Source organism: Homo sapiens, chromosome 17 (genome assembly GCF_000001405.40).
Source record: "Homo sapiens chromosome 17, GRCh38.p14 Primary Assembly".
Taxonomy (NCBI): Eukaryota; Metazoa; Chordata; class Mammalia; order Primates; family Hominidae; genus Homo; species Homo sapiens.
In genome coordinates, this window is record NC_000017.11 from 57,795,773 (window position 1) to 57,818,769 (window position 22,997).

The window sequence follows — 22,997 nt, forward strand, 5'->3', positions numbered from 1 at the left end:
GAGGTTCCAGAAACAGACTCGTAAATATACAATTGATCACCTGATTTATAACAAAGATGGTACTGCAGTGCTGTGGAGAAAGAAATACCTTTTCAAAAACTGGTGCTGGGTCTACAGAGAAAAAAGTGAACTTTGACTCCTCCTGATACATATATACAAAATATAGATCTAAATGTGAAAAGTAAAAAAATAAAGCTTCTGAAAGGAAACAGAGAACAGTAGGTAAAAAAGAAATTTTTTAAAGAATGTGAGAAGCACTAAGTAGGACATGTCAGCTTAACATGAGCTAATACTGTTAAGATTACAAAAACAGGCCGGGCGTGGTGGCTCATACCTGTAATCCCAGCACTTTGGGAGGTCAAGGTGGGTGGATCGCTTAGGTCCAGGAGTTCAAGACCAGCCTGGTCAACATGGTGAAACTCCATCTCTACTAAAAATAAAAAATTAGCCAGGTGTGGTGGCGCACACCTGTGAATCCCAGCTACTCAGGAAGCTGAGGCACAAGAATTGCTTGAACCCAGGAGGCAGAGGTTGCAGTGAGCCAAGATTACACCACTGCACTCCAGCCTGGGTGACACAGCAAGACTCTGTCTCAAAAAAAAAAAAAAGAAAAAAGAAAAGAAAAAAATTTTTTTAAAGATTACAAAAACAAACAAGCAAACAAAAAATCCTGAATGTGATCTAACTGACATTAATAGAAATGTAAAATCCAGATGAAAGGATTCTGTATTCTGTATTCTTCAATGGCTAGTTGGGTGTTATGTTGTGCTCTCAGCATAGGAATAAAAAAAATTATCGAAGTATAGGATACATACAGAAAAATGCACAAATCTTAAGTATACATCTTGATAAATTTTCAGAAATCGTGCACACGTGTCTACCAGCACCCATATCAAGAAACAGAACATGGCCAGCACCTCAGATGCCCTTTCACAGAGTCTTCCAGTCACTCCCCTGCCCTTCTAGATTAACCATTATGCTGAATTCTAACACTATAGGTTAGTTTTTCCTGTGTTATATATATAGCTGCAATCTTAGAGTACATACCTTTTTGTGTCTGGCTTCTTTCATTTGACATTATGTCTATGAGACTTATATTTTTATGTACAGTTATAGTTTACTCATTTTCATTATGGGATAGTGTTCCATTCCACAATTTATTAATCCATTCTACTATTGACGGACTTTGTGTGGCTTTCCAGTTTGGAGTTAATATGAATAGTGCTGCACATTCTTGTACATGTCTCTTAATGTGCTTTGACAGCTTTGTCAAAAATCAATTGGCTTTGTACGCAGTGGTCTAGTTCTGGGCTTTCCACTGTGTGTCATTGATCTATACAGCTATCTTTACACCAGTACCAACCACACTGTCTTGATTACTGTAGCTGTATAATAAGGCCTTAACATCAGGTAAATAAGTCTTCCAGTTTTATTCATTTTCAAAGTTGTTTTGGCTATTGTAAGTCCATTGAATTTTCATACAAATTTTAGAACCAGCTTGCCAATTTCTACAAAAATGTCTGCTGAGATTTTAATTGGGATTGTATTGAATCTATAGATCAATCTGGACAGAACTGACATCCTGACAATGTTAAGTTTTCTGATCCATGAACAGTGTATTACTCTGCTCAGGCTGCCATAACAATATACCAAAGACTGGGTGGCTTAAACAATAGAATTTTGGGCCAGGAGTGGTTGCTCACGCCTGTAATCCCAGCACTTTGGGAGGCCGAGGCCAGTGGATCACCTGAGGTCAGGAATTCGAGACTAGCCTAGCCAACATGGTGAAACCCTGTCTCTACTAAAAATACAAAAATTAGCCAGGTGTGGTGGCACACACCTCTAATCCCAGCTACTTGGGAGGCTGAGGCAGGAGAATCGCTTGAACCTGGAAGGCAGAGGTTACAGTGAGCCCAGATCGCACCATTGTACTCCAGCCTGGGTGACAGAGCAAGACTCCGTCTCTCTCTCTCTCTCTCTCTCTCTCTCTCTCTCTCTCTCTCTCTCTCTCTCTCTCTCTCTCTCTCTATATATATATATATATATATATATATATATATATATATAAAATTTTATTTCCTCACTCTTCTGGAGGCTAGGAAGTTCAAGATCAAGGTGGTAGCAAGGTAGGTTTCATTCTGACGACTCATCTTTTGGCTTGTAGTTATCCACCATTTCACTGTGTGCTCACATGACCTCTTGTTTGTGTGATGGATAGATAGAGAGTAAGAAGTCTCTGTGTCTCTTTTTATAAAGACATTAATTCTATTGAATAAGGGACCCACCCTATGACTTCATATAACCTTAATTACTTCCTTAGAAGGCCCATCTACAAATAAAGTCACATCGTGGGTTGGGGCCTCAACATATAAATTTGGGGGGCACACAATTTAGTCCACAGCAAACATTATATATCTTCCATTTATTTAAGTCTTCTTTGAGCTCTCTCAACAATTTTTTAAAATTTTTCAGAGTCTTATCCATCTTCTGTCATCTTTTGTATTAAATGTTTTCGATGTCATTAAAGATGATGTTTTTAAAGATTTGAATTTCCAATTGTTTGCTGCTAATATATAGAAATTCAGTTTAGTTTTGTACATAATAGGCTTTCTATCCTGAAACCTTGCTCAACACACATATTACTTCTAGCAGTTTTCTTTAGAACTTTTTACATAGAAAAATCATGTCATCTGTGAACAAAGATGGTTTTACTTCTCCCTTTCCATCTGCATGCTTATGGGGTTTTTTGTCTGTTTGTTTTGCTTTATTGCAACTGCTAAAACCTACAGTACAATGTTGAATATATATGATAAAAGCATTCATCTTTGCCTTTTCCCAATCTTACTTGGAAAGTATTTAATATTTCATCATTAGGTGATGTTAGCTGTAGGTTTTCTTAGGTACTTTTTATCAGATTGAGGAAGTTTCCTTATTATAAATAAGCAAATGTCAAATACATTTTTGCTTCTATTATGATGACCCTATAGGTTTTTCTCCTTTACTCTGTTAAAAAGGCAAAATATGTTAATTTTTTGTTGTTGTTGTTGTTTGTTTTTTGTTTTGAAACGGAGTCTCACTCTGTAACCCAAGCTGGAGTGCAGTGGCATGATCTCGGCTCACGCAACCTCCACCTCTTGGGTTCAAGCGATTCTCCCTGCCTCAGCCTCCCAAGCAGCTTGGATTACACGTGCCTGCTATGACGCCTGGCTAATTTTATGTGTGTATTTTTAGCAAAGACAGGGTTTCGCCATGTTGGCCAGGCTGGTATTGAACTCCTGACCTCAGGTGATCTGCCCACTTCAGCCTCCCAAAGTGCTGGGATAACAGGCATGAGCCCCACACCTGGCCTCATTGGTTTTCAAATATTAAACCAACGATGAATTCCTAGATAAAATCTACTAGGTCATGATGCATTATCCTTTTTATATACTTCTGGATTTGATTTCATAATATTTTGTTAAGAATTTTTACATTTATGTTCATGAGGAGTGTTGTTCTATACAATTCACTCTTGAACAATGTAGGGTTTAGGAGCACTGATACAAGCACACAGTTTAAAAATCTGTGTATAACTTTTGACTCCCCCAGTCAGAACTTAATTACTAATAGCCTACTCTTGACTAGAAGCCTTACCATTAACATGAACAATCAACACATATTTTGTGTGTTATACGTATACTGTAGTCTTACCATGACATAAGCTAGAGAAAAGAAAATGTTAAAAACAAAATAAAGACAAGAAAATATACTTGCTATTCATTAAGTGGAAGCGGATCATCCTAAAGGTCTTCATCCTTGTCATCTTCACATTGAGTAGGCTGAGGAGGAGGAGTAAGAGGAGGTATTGGTCGTGCTGTCCCAGGGGTGGCAGAGGTAGAAGAGGTTCTACAAATGTCAACTAGATTGGTTTGGTTGATGGTGTTCAAGTTTTCTATAGCCTTACTGATTTTCTATTTTTTCTATTATTATTATTATTATTATTGAGACAGAGTCTCGCTCTGTTGCCCAGGCTGGAGTGCAGTGGTGTGATCTCGGCTCACTGCAAGCTCTGCCTCCCAGGTTCACGCCATTCTCCTACCTCAGCCTCCCAAGTAGCTGGGACTACAGGCGCCCGCCACTACGCCTGGCTAATTTTTTGTATTTTTAGTAGAGACAGGGTTTCACCATGTTAGCCAGGATGTTCTGGATCTCCTGACCTCGTGATCTGCCCGGCTCGGCCTCCCAAAGTGCTGGGATTACAGGCGTGAGCCACCGCGCCTGGCCTTCTGTTAATTATTGATCATTGCTCTATAATTTTTGCTTTATGCATTTTGAAGCTCTGTTAATAAATGCATTCAGATTTAGAATTATGTCTTTTGTTTTTAGCTGTATTTTCCCCATATAGCAAAACAAAAAACAACCAAAAAAAACTGCTACTTGGTTTCTTCACAATTTATAATTTTTAAAAATATATAAATAGAAGTGAGCAAAACGAGAGAGCAAAAATGAATTATATTCCACTTATAGAATCACACCATTTTAGAATATGTCTTTGAAAATGTTTTCCATGCATATTGCGATGGCCTTTTATAACCAAATAATTATGAACATTTTTCCATGTCATTATTCTTTGACATTATTTTTAGCAGCTGATATGGTTTGGATCTGTGTCCCAGCCCAAATCTCACATTGAAATGTAATCCCCAACGCCGGAGGTGGGGCCTGGTGTGAGGTGATTGGATCACAGAGACAGTTTCTCATGAATGGTTTAGCACCATCCCCCTTGGTGTTGTCATCACGATAATGAGTTCTGATGAGATCTGCTAGTATAAAAGTGTGTAGCACCTTCTCTCCCTCTCTCTCTACCTATCTCTTCCCCCTGCTCTGGCAATGTGAAGTGCCTCCCTCCCTCTTTACCTTCTGCCATGATAGGAAGCTTCCTGAGGCCTCCCCAGAAGCAGAAGCCACTATGTTTTCTGTACAGCCTGCAGAACCATGAGACAATTAAACCTCTTTTCTCTATATATTATCTAGTCTCAGGTATTTCTTTACAGCAGTGCAAGAATGGACTAATATAGAAAGTTGGTACTGAGGAGTGGGGCATTGCTATAAAAATATCTGAAAATGTGGAAGCAGCTTTGGAACTGGGCAACAGGCAGAGGTTTGAAGAGTGCAAGGGGCAGAAAAGAAGGAAGATAAGGGAAAGTTTGGAACTTCCTAGAGATTTGTTGAGTGGCTTTGACCAAAATGCTGATAGTGATATGGAAAATGAAGTCCAGGCTAAGGAGGTCTCAGATGGAAATGAGGAACTTATTGGGAACTGGAGTAAAGGTTACTTTTGCCATGCTTTAGCAAAAAGCCTAGCTACATTGCGCCCCTGCTTTAGGAATCCATGGAACTTTGAACTTGAGAGTGATGATTTACCATGCCTAAGCAGCAAAGCATTCAAGATGTGGAAGAGGTGACCTGGCTGCCTCCAACAGCCTATGCTCATATGCATGAACAAAGAAATAACCTAAAACGGGAACTTATATTTAAAAAGAAAAGCAGAGCATAAAAGTTTGAAAAATCTGCAACCTGGCCATGTGGTAGAAAAGAAAATTCCATTTTCAGGGGAGGAATTCAAGCAGGCTGCAGAAATTTGCAAAAGTAAAAAGAAGGAGTCAACTGTGAACAGCCAAGACAATGGGGAAAAGGACTGGAAGGCATTTCAGAGGCCTTCCTGGAAGCCCCACCCATCACAGGCCCTGAGGCCTAGAAGGACCGAATGGTGATAGTGATTTCTCATGAGATCTGGTTGTTTACAAGTGTGTAGTACCTCCTTACTCTCTCTTTTCCTCCTGCTCCAGCAATGTGAAATGCCAGCTCCCCCTTCACCTTCTGCCATGATTGTAAGTTTCCTGAGGCCTCCCCAGAAGCTAAGCAGATGCTGCCATGCCTTCTATATAGCCTGCAGAGCTGTGAGCCAATTAAACCTCTTTTCTCTATAAATTACCCAGTCTCAGGTATTTCTTTATAGCAGTGCAAGAACAGACTAATACAGTGGCTATATAATATTCCATTATGTGGATGATCATAATGAAATTAACTTCACATTACATTTACATTTATTTCTTTAATGTTAATCTTACAGTTATTCATTAATTGGAATCTTCCTTTCAACTCTTTTGTCATTTGTTCCATTACCTTTCCTCTCAGTTTAGGAGAATCCACAGATATACTTGGCAAGAGCTCTCCATCTGCTCTAAGATGTAGATATAAATATTTCACAATACAAGCCCCAGGTGGAGTCCTGTGTTCAACTTCTAGAGCTATCTACCCAATCAACAGCCATTCCTTCCATATTCTTCAGAAATATTCTCTCAACCAATTCTGTATCTGCCTACGTACACTGTTATCTTTCTTCTAAAACATGGTTCTGAATACTGTGTTGTGGGAAGCTAAGTAATTTCACTGATTTTTTGTTGTTAAGGTAGAGACCTTGGAAAGTCATTTATGTACCATATTTGGCACCTATAGTAGACTCTATTGAAGCCCTCCTAGATCCCCTGAAATCCCTATCACCAGCTCCACATGCCCACTCTCCACCTCTGTGTTTTTTGTTGCTAACAGCTTGCACTGATGACTTTCAGAAGACTGACTGGGGGCACCAAAGCTGCTTCCCTCTGAAAATTTTACACTTTATCCTGGGAAACCTATAAGCAATAACTGACTAATTTGAGAGTATAAAGCCCAGCTCCTTTGATTCAAGGTGGTAAATGCTGGGGTGTAATTCACCCCAGAACTCCTCATGGGATCAGGCTGAGTCTGGGACCTGATATCCAATCTTTGCCTGGATTCTTTCCTTTCCCTATCCTGTTTCTCCCATCCTACAGATTTCTCCTGAGAGCAGTTCCTTTATAAATCACCTACACCAGACTCCTCAGCCCAGGCTTTTCTTTTGGTAGCAACTAACCTTAAGACAGCATCCAGATAACGTCCAAAGCATCACTCAAAGTAGATTCCTTCCCAGGCCCCACTCACACTCTTACTACCCAACACCTTCCAAATCCAAAAGCACTGCTGTGCTGAACTGTAAAACCACTTGACATCTGAATATCTATGCTTGCATTCAAAGAATAATGAGGGTTTTTATTCACTTTGCAAAAGAATTCACAACAAGGCTCCCAATGTAGGGAACTCTAGCGTATGTTTAAAGTAACATCACAAAATTTTACCCCAAAGAATGACATAGGGTAACTTTCCAGAAATGACACATCCCATACAAGGCAGTGCCCCATATACCAACCCAATCACTGAGACTTTGAAATTTTTCTCTGTGAAAGTGGCTTTCTCCTGGGGCCTCCTGGTAAGTTTCTGACTCTTTTCCTCAGCTCCCTCCCTCATACCCTGAAGGGAGTTGCCATGGTGACTGTGGGACTGTGACCTCCAGGGTAGCTCAGGCTCAGAAGAAAGGGTTTCCCCAGGGTGGCTGAGAAGCAAGGAGCAGAGACACAAATGGCATTCTCTTCAGTCAGTGGGCAAATGTTTAACGAGTTTATGTCGAGGCGTGTGTTGGGAAAGTGCTGGACCATCTTCAGATGCAGCACAGGTGACTCTGGGCCCACTCTGCTACTCATGGGTAGAGGTGTTAACAATACACTCGCCCTGATCCTGATTCAGACAGATGCCTGCAGCAAAAGAAAGTCACTCTCAGGGAGGCAGTTGGGACTAACTGGCTCTAATTCATTATTGGAGCTCACTGATATCAAGAGAAGGTCAAACTACATATGTAAATGAGGCTGTTTTTATCCCAGGATCTAAACCCACTTAACCAAGAAAATGCAAACTACCTCACTTTTGTTGAATTAGCTCATTTGAATAGTTGAATAGGAGAGAAGCCAGGGAGGGGCAAATGGCCCTGAACTCAGGAACTTGCCCACCCCTGAACATGGAGACCTCACTCAATTCTTTCTTCAGTACTTTTTTTCCACATTATTAATTTCTGTCTTTTTTTTTTTTTCAGGCAGAGTCTCACCCTGTCACCCAGGCTGGAGTGCAATGGCGCCATCTCAGCTCACTGCAACCTCCCTCTCCCGGGTTCAAATGATTCTCCTGCCTCAGTCTCCCAAGTAGCTGAGATTACCAGTGCCCACCACCACGCCCAGCTAATTTTTTTGGGGGGGCGGGGGACGGAGTCTCTCTCTGTCTCCCAGGCTGGAGTGCAGTGGCACGATCTCGGCTCACTGCAAGCTCTGCCTCCCAGGTTCACGCCATTCTCCTACCTCAGCCTCCCGAGTAGCTGGGACTACAGGTGCCCGCCACAATGCCCCGCTAGTTTTTTTATATATTTTTAGTAGAGACGGGGTTTCACCATGTTAGCCAGGATGGTTTCGATCTCCTGACCTCGTGATCTGCCTGCCTCGGCCTCCCAGAGCGCTGGGATTACAGGCGTGAGCCACCGCGCCCGGCTAATTTTTGTATTTTTAGTAGAGATGGGGTTTCACCATGTTGGCCAGGCTGATCTCGAACTCCTGACCTCATGATCTGCCCACCTCGGCCTCCCAAAATGCTGGGATTACAGTCGTGAGCCACTGCACCTGGCCAATATTTGTCATTACAAATTAATTTTTTAGCAATAGGGTCTCATGCTGTCACCCAGGCTGGAGTGCAGTGGTGCAATCATGGCTCACTGTAACCTTGAACTCCTGGGTTCAAACTCCTTCTGCCTTACCTTCCCAAAGTACTGAGCTACTGCACCTGGCCCAATGCAGACTTCTAAAGTTAAAGTCTTCCCTTCCTTAGCTCCCACTGCTGTCACTTCAGGTAATGACTGTTAACATCCTAGAGTATGCAGCCTTCTGTATCTTTCTCTGAGATCATTTAATAGTATACAACCATTCCCCATATATCTCTCCCTCCCCCCTCACACACTATGACACTGTCCTTGCTGATTGCTTTTTGCTTTTGCTGCTTAACATTATATCATGGTACCATGGGGATTCCTCCAGGTCAACATGTATGGGTTTAATGCACTCTTTAATATTTCTATAATATTCTATAATATTTAAGTACTATAATTTACCTAACATTCCCCTATTAATGGAAATTCAGATTCTATCCAGCTTTTGCTACTAGAAACAACCTTGCAATAAATATTATATGTATATATCTCCTTAAAATACATTCTCATATTGGGATTGCTGTGTCAAAGGATTTTTTTTTTTTTTTTAGATAAGGGGAGTCTCACTCCATTGCCCAGGCTGGAGTGCAGTGGCATGATCAGAGCTCACTGTAACCATAAACTCCTGGATTCAAGTGATCCTCCCACCCCAACCTCCCAAGTAACTAGATCTATAGGCACACATCACCAAGCCTGACTAATTTAATTTTTTTTTTTTTTTTTTTGGAGAGATGAGGTCTCTCTATGTTGTCCAGTCTGGTCTCAAACTCCTGGCCTGAAGCACTCCTCCAACTTCAGCCTCCCAAGTAGCTAGAACTACAGATGTATGCCAACAGCTAGGATGTGTTCATTTTTAATTCTAATACTCACTTTGAGATTGCTTTCTTAAAAGGGTTTAGCAATTCATATATCCATTAACAATGTATGAGAGTCCCTGTTTACTCACACCGTTGACAACATTGGATGTTATCAATCTTTAATTTTTGCCAATCTGATGACTGAAAATGGTATTAATTGTTGTTTTATCTTGCAGTTCCCTGACTACAAATACAGTTGAGTGTCTTTTCATGTACTTATCAGCTATTTGTATTCTCTCATCTGTAAAATGTTTGTTCATAGGCTGGGCACAGTGGCTCACACCTGTAATCCCAGCACTTTGTGGGGCCAAGGCAGGTGGATCACCTGAGGTCAGGAGTTCAAGACCAGCCTGGGCAACATGGTGAAACCCCATCTCTACTAAAAATACAAAAATTAGCAGGGTGTGGTGGCACATGCCTGTAATCCCAGCTACTCGGGGGGCTGAGGCACAAGAATTGCTTGAATCTGGGAGGCGGAGGTTGCAGTGAGCCGAGATTGCGCTATTGCACTCCAGCCTAGGTGACAGAGCAAGACTCCATCTCAAAAAAAAAAAAGTTTGTTCATGTGCTCTGTCCATTTTTTAAAAGCTTTGTCTTTTTTTCTTATCAGGTTACATATTAGGAATGTTGTTTCTTGTCTGTTGTGTGTATTATCATTAGTCTTTTGACTCAGAGTGACTTGATGATTTTTGTCCCTTCCTTCTCAGCTTCACTCGTGAATGTCAACTTTCACCATTTTTTCTAACTTAACCGTCAAAGATATGGGACTGGGAAGAGGCAGACCATGACCATAGAACAGAGAGGAGGCTGAAGTCATAAGAGAAGAGTTTGCTCTAGGAGGCTGGGAAAACCAAGTTGGACAGCATTTGGCATCTATAATACTCTTTGTTCTGCTTTAAATGGTCCTCCTCTTATGGGAATAGAACCCTTCTCCCATATCCCTTTAGCCAGCTCACTCCTACTCATCCTTCAAAACCCAGCTCAAACATCACTGCCTCTGAAAAGCCTTCTCTGATCCACCCACAAGCTGACCTGGAGACCCCTCTGTGCATAATTCTATTCTAGCACTCGTCACATCACCCCCTGACCCATCAGTTTCTTGTCAGTCTCCCTTTCAGACTGAGTGCTCCTTTAGAGCAGGACACTCCCTGAAGCACAGTTCCACCCTCAGGATCTAGCCCCTCTGAGAGTATTCAAAAAAGGATTTGAACAAATTTAGCAAATTGTTCTTCAGCAGCACTGTGCCAGGTGCTGTGGAGGTGACAGATGGATTATAGCACATGACCCCTGATCTCAGAGAGATCAAAAACTAGCTGAGACATAAGAACGCACTAACATTGAAACAACAGCCTGTGAAAGCAATTACATTTAAGTAGACTATTATGTCATTGAGAATGCACGTGTTCCAGAAGGCCTGGGCTGCATGTGCGGGGGGCACAGGAAAGAATCAGGGAGAATGTGGGACTTGATTTGGGTCTTGGTTGTGGGCGAAGTCTGGATGTGGGACTTAAGGGTGGGTGGGATTTGGACAGAGGGTAAGAGGAAGTGAGGGCAGCTGGTAAGAGGGCAATGGGCAAAAGTATGGGTGTTATTTTTAAAGACAGGGTCTTGCTCCATCACCCAGGCTGGAGTGCAATGGCACAATCATGGTTCGCTGGAATCTCAAACTCCTGGGCTCAAAGTGATCCTCCTGTGTCAGCCTCCCCCGTAGCCAGGATTCTTCAATACCTCCATAATATTCTATAATATTTAAGTACTAGAAACAGTGGAGGGACTGAAGTGACCAGAGCAGAGAGTTTGTGCTGGGAAGAGGAGGAAAACTGAGTTGGACAGCATCTAGCCTCCCGGCAAGGAATTTCTGAATTATGGATAAATATGCATATTGCCTCCCAGATTCCAAGAGCTGATTATGGCACTCTGCCACGTATGCTGAAGATGTGTTCATGTGTTTCTCCCACTCAACTGTGGGCTTCTGGTCAGTCTGGAGTGTAATTGGCAGAATAATGCCCCTCTCCCCTTACCCACCCCCACGCACAAAGATGTCCACAGCTTAATCCCTGGAACCTGTCAATACGTTTTGTTACATGGCAAAAAGGAATTAAGCTAGCAGCTGGACTTAAGGTCACTAACCAACTGACTTTAAAACAGGGAGATGATCTGGATTATTGGCGTGAGCCCAATGTAATCACATGGATCCTTCAAAGTGGAACAGAAGCAGAGAGTCAGAGGGAAATGTGACTACAGAAGGTCAGGGTGACACAGTGGGAAGGATTTGGCTCAATGTTGCTGGCTTTGAGAATGGAGGAAGGCTGGGCGTGGTGGCTCACACCTGTAATCCCAGCACTTTGGGAGGCCAAGGCAGGCAGATCACCTGAGATCAGGAGTTGGAGACAAACCTGGGCAACGCGGTGAAACTCCATCTCTACTAAAAATACAAAACTTAGCTAGGTGTGGTGGCACATGCCTGCAAACCCAGCTACATAGGAGGCTGAGGCAGGAGAATTGCTTGAACCTGGGAGGTGGGGGTTGCAGTGAGCCGAGATTGCACCACTGCACTCCAGCCTGGGCAACACAGTGAAACTCCGTCTCAAAAACATAAAAAAGAGAATGGATGAAGGAGGCAAGAAGTCAAGGAATGTGGGGGGCTCTAGAGGCTGGAAAAGGCAAGGAGATAGGCTCTCCCCAGAGCCTCCAGAAAGGAACATGTCCTTGCCAACATCTTGATTTTAGCCCAGGAGACCCATTTCGGACTTCCAACCCAGAAAACCATAAGACAATTAGTATTGTTTAAGGTAGGGAGGCCCCGACCCCCAGGCAGTGGACCGGTACCAGTCAGTGGCCTGTTAGGAACCGGGCCACATAGCAAGAGGTGAGTGGCAGGCGAGCAAGCATTACTGCCCAAGCTCTGCCTCCTGTCAGATCAGCGGTGGCATTAGATTCTCATAGGAGAGTGAACTCTATTGTGAACTGCGCATACGACGGATTTAGGTTGCACACGCTTTGTGAGAATCTAATGCTTGATGATCTGAGGTGGAACAGTTTCATCCACAAACCATCTCCCCCCACCCCATCCCCATCCATGGAAAAACTATCTTCCACAAAACCAGTCCCTGGTGGCACAAAGGTTGGGGACCACTGGTTTAAAGCACTAAATGGAAGGTAATTTGTTACAACAGCAATGGGAAACTAATATAGGAGGGACCTATATGTGCATACGTCTCATCTGTATTTACATACATGCATAACTTGGCTCCAGTAAATTGAAGTGTTCAGAAATGATTACTTAATGAAATTACATAAAGAATTCCTTTCGGTCAGGCGCGGTGGCTTATGCCTGTAATCCCAGTACTTTGGGAGGCTGAGGCAGGAGGATTGCTTGAGCCCAGGAGTAACAAGACCAGCTTGGGCAACATAGCAAGACTTTATCTCTATTAAAAATAAAAAAAATTTAGTCAGACATCGTGGTGCATGCCTGTGGTCCCAGCTACATGAGAGGCTGAGGCAGGAGGATTTCTTGAGCCCAGGAGGTTGAGGGCTGCAGTGAGCCATGATCATGCCACTGCATTTCAGCCTGAGTGACAGAGGGAAGAGACCGTGCCTCAAAAATAAATTATTTTCATCACAGTATTATTTACAGTAGCAAAGACATGGAATCAACCTAGGTGTCCATCGATGGTGGGTTGGACAAAGAAAATGGTGTACACATACACCAAGAAATACTATGAATCACTAAAAGGGAATGAAATCATGCTCTTTGCAACAACATGGATGCAGCTGGAGGCCATTAGCCTAAACCAATTAACGCAGGAACAGAAAACCAAATACCATGTGTCCTCACTTATAAGTGGGAGCTAACCCTTGGGTATTCACGGACATAAAGATGATAACAATAGACACGGGACTATACTAGAGTGGGGAGAGAGGGAGGCAGGCAAGGGTTGAAAAACTAACTCTTGCGTTCAATGCCCACTACCTGAGTGACAGGAATCAATCATACCCAAATCTCCACATCACACAATATGCCCAGGTAACAAACCTGCACCTGTATCTCCTTAATATAAAACAAAAGTGGAAATTATTTTTTAAAAAAAGAATTCCTCTTGTTTCAACATCTCTCCCAGAAAACAAAAACCGAACTCCATCCATATACCCATTGCTTGTAGCCGTGTGCTTCAAGTCAGTTTGCTCTTTAGCACAGACTTTGATTTCGCTATTATAAATAACACTATAGCCAGCCAGGTGCAGTGACTCACACCTGTAATCCCAGCACTTTGGGAGGCTGAAGCGGTGGATCTCTTGAGGTCGGGAGTTTGAGACCAGCCTGGCCAACATGGGGAAACCCCGTCTCTACTAACAGTACAAAAAAATTAGCCAGGCACAGTGGTGGGCGCCTGTAATCCCAGTTACTCAGGAGTCTGAGGCAGGAGAATCACTTGAACCTTGGGAGGTGGAGGTTGCAGTGAGCTGAGATCACGCCACTGCACTCCAGCCTGGGCAACACAGTGAGACACCATTTCAAAAATAAATAAATAAATAAAACTAGAGCAAGCATCTTTCCTCTGTTTTTGATGAAATTTGTTTATCCTAAATGAAATTAATGAGTCAAAAATGACGCACATTTTGTGTGGCTCTTCACTCATTTAGCCAGCTTACTTTCCACAGAGTTTGCACTAATCTACACACTCACTCACAACGTGGGAGAGCACCACCCTCTGCCACAACTGGGCCCGGCAGGGGACACATGCACAGTCCCCTCCTTGCACATTCAACTTTTTCCTGCTCCAATATCGACTGCATAACTTCAGGCTCAAGTGGGGCCCTCCACAGTAAGCAGAGATCCTAAACACTGCGTTGTGGTAGAAAAAGTGATTTCTCTGTAGCCACAAGGAACATTCTTTAGGGATAATGCTGGTCCAGGAGGGAGGAGTCTGAACATCCCTAGTTTATTTTATCAGCAATTGCAATGAGAGGGTTTTGTTTGTTTGTTTGTTTGTTTGTTGGAGTTGCAAGAGATGATCTGCCTGTTCAGGGAGCTGGTCATCTTCCACTGCCCTCAAATAGAAAGCCTGGAAATTGTACCTGACTGACCCAAAAGAAAAAGCTGGTTTATTTAAAAGTCTGGTTCCTTTATCCCCTTTGCAATACAGTGGTAGGTTTTTGGTTTGTTTTGTTGGTGGTGTTTTTGTTTGTTATTTTGTTTGTGTTTTTAACGAGTTCTTTGGTGACTATGCTAAAAAGACCATCATGGAAGCAAGAACATCAATAATTTTTTCACCCACTTCCAGCCCCCAGGACAGAGACAGACCTGGAGGCTTCATCGTCCCTTAGGACTGACTATCTTCCTTGCTTCAGGGAAGAAAAAAATCGTATGACAATGTTGCTTGCCTTGGCTTGCCTGTGGGTGTGGGGGATACAGTCCAGGCACGGAGAGGCACCCGAGTAGGAGCAGGATAAAAGGGCCTCCCAGAGATTTAGGCTCAGAGACTCCAGGGAGATTGGGCAGTCGCTGTCCCAGACGCTATCATGAGCTCTCAGCCTGATGCTTCCATGTGAAATGGGGCCAATCAGATCTAGCCCTAGGACGACAGTCCCCCCCTGCACCCAGAGGCACAGTCTGGGACTCTGGCAGGCCTAAAGTAACTAGGTTTTGCCTGCACATGTTTGATCCAAAGAGTGGAAAAAGCCTTTGGACTCCGGAGGTCTTCACTGGGGTCCTGGCCGCTCTCCAGACTTTCCTCGTGACCGGGGGCCTTCGGTTCCCTGGGCCTCGGGTTCTCTCTCTGTGAAGTGGCCAAACAATCCTGCCTCCCAGGGAGCGAGCACGCGGCTTGTCCGGGGAGAAAAGAGCAACAAATATTTATAAATCCATCACTGAGGTGGCGCTGAAACAGCTGACGGAGCGAAGCCTGACCCAGTCGGGTCCCGGGCCCTCCACGGGGGTCTGCGTCCTCCCGCTGCCTCCCACCCACCCCTGACAGGGCGGGGCAGACCTCTCGGGCAACTTCCCAGACTATGAATTTCCTTTGGCACTTTGAGGCTCCCCCAGGAGGATTCATGAGACCGCAGCAGGAAATGAGGAACATATTTTTAAATCAGAAGGGGGAAGCAATGTCTTTCTGTCAGATAAGTGGCCTGGATCCAGGGCTGAGAGACTGTGGCGCATTTCTCCTCGCAGACAGCAGGTGCTCTTCGAGATGTGGTTATGGCAACAAAATAAATGATGGATAATTGCTTTTGTGACAACTTGCCAATTAAATTAGACTCAGCAGAATAACATAATGACAATTTGTTATGCTCCGATGGGCACTAACATACCGATCATAATTAAATGCTATGACTGAAATAGAATACCGCTCAACGCAGGAATATACAACCCCAATTCCCTCTCTGTGAAACTTTATAGGTTGAGGCTTGATTTTAATTTCAGGAAGATAATGGCATTAGCTCATATCCGAGTGGGTTTGTGGAGAGGCCTGTGGTGAGGGGAGATGGGCCTGAGCAGGAAGGCGATGCCTGTAAGGAAACACCCGGGGGGCTGAACTCCAAGGTCAAGGGGAAGGGCTGAGGAGCCCTGTCGTGAAAATAGTGCTTGCTGGTCTGGGAAATGGAGGCAAAGGAGGAGCAGAGCAGGGAAATGGAGGCAAAGGAGGAGGCCCTCGCCCATGGTCTGCAGTGACAGGGCCCGTGCTGTGAACAACTCCAGGCCTCCACGCTGAATGTGTGGGGCATGTCCTTGAACAAGGAGCCCAGACTCACAGGTGATGTTAAAGAGGAGCTTAGGGGCGACTTGGTGCTAGGCATGTACAGCAAGTAGTAGAAGTGAGAAGTCCACTCAGTCTGCAGATGCCCTGCCTTCCCCTGCCCCTGGTGACAGCTGATTGGGCCAGAAGTGAATAGCTGACCCAAGGTGGGCCAATCAAATTCTTCCTCTGGAAACTTTGCAGGTGAGCTACTGAGCTAATTCTATAAAACAGTCATACATGTACAGATTGATGTGTAAGCACTTCCCTATATTATAATATACATACAGGACACGCACATATAAAAGCTGCAACTCGACTGTCAAAAACTTGACCTAAACGTGATATTCTAGGTATTGATTGTGTATTCAAGTTTTAATATATTTGTTGATGAATTCCCAAACCATTCCATAAAAGATTTGAGGTGGCTTTTGAAAAAATCAAGTAAGAATAATTCTGTTTGCTGTTTTTAGAGTTTAAAAGGGGTTTCTATATAGACAAAAAGGATAGTTGGTGAGGTCTCTCTCTCTTTTTTTTTTCTTTTTTTCTTTCTTTTTTTTTTTTTTTTGACAGAGTCTCGCTCTGTTGCCCGGGCTGGAGTGCAGTGGTGCAGTCATAGCTCACTGCAGCCTCGAATTCCTGAGCTCCAGTGATCCTCCCACCTCAGGCTCCCAAGTAGCTGGGACTATGGACGCGCACCACCAGACCTGGCTAACTTTTGTATTTTTTTGTAAAGACAGGGTTTCACCATGTTGCTCAGGCTGGTCTCGAATTCCTGGGCTCAAACAATGCACCTGCCTTGGCCCCCCAAATTGCTGAGATTGCAGGCGTGAGTCACCTCACCCAGCCTCTCACTTTCTTGCTTACAAATCTCAATTTTTTAAAAAACAAAGTAATGCAAAAATAAATTATATATTTAGTAATCTAAAGTGTTTAAAATAAAAACTCATGCTCCTCAATCCTACTCCCCAGTGATGATCACTGACATCAACTCGGTGTATATCCTCCGAGCCTTTCTTCTCTGCCTGAGCCATCCTTTAAATGTGAAAATGGCTCCAAGGTTATTTATGGGTACAATGATAGGGTATATGGGATTTGCTTCACATTAATCCATGGGTGAAGGAGACAATGAATGGGATGGAAAAAGAATAGCCAAGAGCTTAAAATTGTTGCAACCAGCCGGGCGCACTGGCTCACGCCTGTAATCCCTGCACTTTGGGAGGTCGGGGGGAGTGGATCATTTGAGGTCAGCAGTTCAAGACCAGCCTGGCCAACATGGTGAAACCCCGTCTCTACTAAAAAAAAAAAAAAAAAAAAAAATTAGCTGAGCGTGGTGGTACACGCCTGTAATACCAGCTACTCGGGAGGCTGAGGCAGGAGAATTGCTTGAACCTGGGAGGCGGAGGTTGCAGTGAGCCAAGATCGCACCACTGCACTCCAGCCTGGGCGACAGAGTGAGGCTTCATTTCAAAAATATATATATACATATATATATATGTATATATATATATTTTTTGCAACCAGGTGATGAGATGTGGAGTTTCATTACACTATACTCTTTACTTTTAATGTGTTTTAAAAATTCTACGGGTGGTGGCTCATGTCTATAATCCTTGCACTTTAGGAGGCTGAGGCGGGCAGATCGCTTGAGGTCAGGAGTTCAAGACCAGCCTGAGCCACATGGCAAAACCCCGCCTCTACAAAAAATACAAAAATTAGCCAGGTGTGTTGGCTCATGCCTGTAGTCCCAGCTACTGGGGTGGCAGAGGCAGGAGAATTGCTTGAACCTGGGAAGTGGAAGCTGCAGTGAGCCGGGATCTCACCACTGCATTTCAGCCTGGGTGACAAAATGAGACCCTCTCTCAAAAAAAAAAAATATACAGTACACCAGGTATAGTGGCTCATGCCTATAATCCCAACACTGGGAGGTCAAGGCAGGAGGATCCTGCCTTGAGGTCAGGAATTCTAAACTGACTTGGTCAACATAGTAAGATCCCCGTCTCTACAAGAGAAAAAAAAATTAAGTTAGCCCGGCATGGTGGTGAGCACCTGTAGTCCCAGCTACTGAGGAGGCTGAGGTAGGAGGATTGCTTGAGCCCAGGAGTTCAGAGCTGCAGTGAGCCCTGACTACATCACTGAATTCCAGCCTAGCTGACAGAGAGAGACTCTGTCTCAACAAACAAACACACAAACAAACAAAAACTACAATCATAGCTTACATTTTTAACTACTGTTTTACCTTTTTTTCTTTTAAAAAATAGAATTTTGCCTTATGTGCCATTCATCAGTTTACTCTTTAAAAAAACTAACAGCTTGTTGTGGACATAGCTCCATGTCTGCACAGCTATTCTTTCTCATAGTTTTCCATTGTATGGATTTTCTACAACTTAACCAACCTCTGTTACCCTGAAGGACTATTTGCAGTGTTTTTCTATACCAAAGAATGCTAAGTAAACACACTTAGGCATACATCTCTTCTCTCTTGAAGAAGGTTTCCGTATGACACATTCCTAAAAGCATAATTTCTGGCTCAATGGGAAAATGTATTTTAAATTTGACTGCAACTGCCAGGCTCTTCATCAAAAATGTTATGGCAAGTCTTAGTTTTGTCAGCTATGGATGCCTTTTTATCTGTATCCTTCCAAAACACTGAGTACTAGCAATCTGTTTAATTTTGGCTAATTTTGATAGGGAAACTACATCTCCTCTTGGTTTTAGTTGTGTTGTTTTGTATTTTGTTGCTAATTTAGAGTATCATTTCATGCTTTCTATGCCATATGTGTTTCTTCTTTGTGACTTGCCCAGATGTCACCTGTGTTCATTTATCTATGGTATTTCTTTTTCTTACTGATCTGTAGGACATTTTTGTATATTATGGATGTTATACTTTTATCAGTTACGTATGTTTAAAATATTTTCTTCCATTCTTTAACTTTTGTTTGTGACATTTTTCACCATATAGAAGTTGTTATTGTTGCTTGTTTGTTTATGTAGTTAGGACTGTTGTTCTTTTCCTGCTGTCTTCTGGTTTTTGTGTCATGCTCAAAAAGGACCTATTTTTTTTCTAGCACTTTTATTGTTTTAATTTTTATTTTTAAGCCTTTAATCCATTTCGGATTTATTTCAGGTATGGAACCAGAAAACGGGCACAGGAACCAAATTTGAATTTTCTCTGAAATTCACAACCTTTCCCTGTTTATGTAATAAACCATCCTTTTCTCACTGATGTGAAATGCTATTTTTGTCATATATTTAATTATCATATATACACAGATTTTTTTCTAGACTCCCTGTTGTACATATTCCCCTGGTCTAATTGCCTATTCCTATACATGTACCATGCTGTTTTCATGGTTGTTGCTTTATAATACATTTGATAGCTAGTATTATATACATAATATTATATGCTTATATTTCAAATTTTTATTTTGGCTAATTTTATCCTTCCAGTTAAACTTTATTATCAAGTTGCTAAGTTAAAAATAAAAACTGCAATGAGATCTGATTAGAAATGTTTTAGTTGTATATATTAAGTTGGGAAAGGTGGTCCAAGTTTCTGAAAGACAAAACTATCCATGGATGCCCACACATACCCTGGATGCCATGACCAGAATTCAGTGTGCTCAGGTTCAGTCTAGGAATGATCCAGCCCCACACTCATGTCTTACTTCACTCAGCCTGCTCTGTATTCAACTCCTGTTCTCTCTTCCCATTGGGTTCTGTCTTTGCACATTTGGGCTGCTACAGCAAAATACCTTATACTGAGTAATTTGTAAACAACAGAAATTTATTGCTCACCGTGCTGGAGTCTGGGAAGTTCACAATCAAGGCACCAGCAGATGCAGTGCCTGGTGGGGGCCTATTCTTCATAAATGGCACCTCTTGCTACATCCTTACACAGCAGAAGGGGGAAACAGGCTTCACCTCTTTTATTTTTATTTTTATTTTTATTTTTGAGATGGAGTTTCGCTCTTGTCACCCAGGCTGGAGGGCAATGGCATGATCTCAGCTCACTGCAACCTCTGCCTCTCAGGTTCAAGTGATTCTCCTGCCTCAGCCTCCCAAGTAGCTGGGATTACAGGTGCCCACCACCATGCCAGGCTAATTTTTGTATTTTTTAGTAGAGACAGGGTTTCACCTTGTTGGCCAGACTGGTCTCGAACTCCTGATCACCCACCTCAGCCTTCCAAAGTGCTGGGATGACAGACATGAGCCACCTCAACCAGCCACTCCACCTCTTTTGTAAGGGACTAACCCCATTCATGCTGCCCTCATAACCTAATCACTTCCCAAAGGCTCTACCTCTTAATACCATCACCTCACGGGTTAGGTTTCAACATATAAATTTTGGTGAGACACAAACATTCAGACAAGCTCTAACTCTAATTCCTACTTGCCTATGAGTTATGTTTCTCTAGCCTTCGAATCATCTCCTTCTCTCCCAGAATGGCATGGCTGGTCTTCTCTCTTTTGACCATTGTGTAATCCACCCCCTCATACCGGTGAGACCTGATGCTTCCAGGCTGGTTCTACCCATGGAAGCTGGCCAGTAGGATCAGGATTAGACAATATCTTCGATGCCATAATAACAGAAGGAAATTTCAAAATCTTCTAGCTTAAACTCCCTCCTTTGACTTCATTCCACAACACAAAGATGACCATGGGGCTCAGACAAATAAAGTCATAGAATAACTGATGGGATAGGAAAGGTATTTTGAATTTTTTGGCAGTAGTGACAGGTGACACCTTTCTCTAGTGTCCACCTTCCCGGTCCCCTGCAGAGAAGTGGAAAGGAAATAGTCTAGGACAATGCTGTCCAACAAATCATTCTACCAGTTCCAGAAAGAGACTGTCTTCATGGAGATATGAAGTTTCTCCTAGCCAAACTGAACTTCCTACCATTTCCTGCTATTAGGGTCCCATGGGTGTTTGACAGGCCCAGGACTAGGGTGAGGCAAGAGCTGAATCTGCACTCACATGACCCAAGTGTGAGGGACTCGCTACACTTGTTCCTAGGTGTCTCACTTGCCTCACCCTAGTCCTAGCCCTGGAGTTGGGTTGTGTGTCACAAATGCTGTGGTCCCCTCCCCAGATCCCCTCTTCACCTGTTCCAGCTCTGGGGACTAAGCTCACAGCTACAACCCTCATTGAGAATTACTCTGGCCACAAGGAACTTCCCTGCCCAATATTATACCCCTTCCAGGGGGGACGTCTATGATCAAGGACTGGCTGAGGCAGGGATGAAAACACCTACTTTTTTTTTTTTTTATATCACTTTAGAAGAACTCTAAAAGAGCCATCCCCTCATCCAGAGCTCCAGAGCCTCAGCTCCCACAATGAATTAAGAACTATGATGCTTGGTGGGTTTCATCGGTTCTGGAGGTGCCACAGTCCACACTGTGGAACAGTACTCTAACCCTGCAGGTAACAAAGAAAGCTGCCAGCTTTGAATGGGACCCAGAGCAGGAAAGGGCTCTGCAGCAGGTTCAGGCTGTGGTCAGAAAGCCCTGCCTCCCGCGCTGTGTGACTCGGCAGGCTCTGTGGTCCTAAAGGCTCTGTGTTTTTTGTGGAGGAAGAAACACCACATGGAGTTTCTGGTGAACACCAATAGGAAATAATATTATAGATTCCTAGAGTTCTGAAGCAGGGCATGCCATCTGCAAGAAAAGCTACACACCCATTGAAAAGTAGCTCCCAGGCCAGGCGCGGTGGCTCAAGCCTGTAATCTCAGCACTTTGGGAGGCCAAGGCGAGCGGATCACCTGAGGTCAGGAGTTCAAGACCAGCCTGGCCAACATGGTGAAACCCCGTCTGTACTAAAAATACAAAAATTAGCTGGGCATGGTGGCGGGTGCCTGTAATCCCAGCTACTTGGGAGGCTGAGGCAGGAGGATGGTCTAAGCCCAGGAGGCAGAGCTTGCAGTGAGATCTCACCACTGCACTCAAGCCTGGGCAACAGAGTAAGGCTCCATCTCAAAAAAAAAAAAAAGAAAGAAAGAAAAGAAAAAGAAAAAGAAAAGTAGCTCCCAGAATGCTACTGGATCCTGGTAGAGATGAGGCTTCTGACCAAGTGACACCAAGTAACCAGACAACTGTAGCTCCCCATCATGAACTGGATCTGTCAGATCCACAGAGTCACGAGGGCAGGCAAGCCCAGTAGCAATCAGTCGTTCGATGGAAGCGGTACATTTAGGATCGGCACCCGGAAGCTGCATGGGCAGGTAGCCCAGGCTCCCATGTCATGTGTCAATATTTCCCTGGGCCCTGGCCCTCAGCAATCACCTATAGCTGCATGAGGGCTTCCTTACGGCCAGCTGACAGCAGAAGCAAAAGGCCAAGTTCAGTTCATAGAAGGGTCAGCTCAGTGTGGCAGTGTGAGCTGGGGCTGCTGCCAGTCGGTGGAGGCAGGGAGGAATACGTTTGGCATTTGGATAATCCACTGGGGCATTTCTTGGTGTTCCATACCCATTTTAATGATAATGGGCAAGTACAACAACCAGGTCTTGAAAAGAGCATGGTATCCATGTGGTCAGAACCCTCAGGAATGAGGGTCCAGGTCATCCCACCCAACAAGTCTCTTAGACCAGCAGAGATGCCAGCCAAGGGCAGGAAGACTCTGGTACAGGTGGTGGAGAAGGGGCATAAGGAGTACCAGGTAGAACCTTGAGATCAAATGCAGCATCAGAGTCTGTGTCTGTCCCATTAACCCTTCTCTTGTCAGTTTCCCCAGGAAGCAAAACTCACTACAATCATAAATAAG

General features: G+C 43.6%; 1 annotated feature.

The window, feature by feature from the left end:
• Positions 14,855-15,741: an enhancer, noted in NCBI's record as "H3K4me1 hESC enhancer chr17:55887988-55888874 (GRCh37/hg19 assembly coordinates)". NCBI's record gives its function as "activates a minimal SCP1, AML or CMV promoter by ChIP-STARR-seq in naive H9 embryonic stem cells {active_cell/tissue: H9 hESC(naive)}" and the evidence as "EXISTENCE:reporter gene assay evidence [ECO:0000049][PMID:30033119]".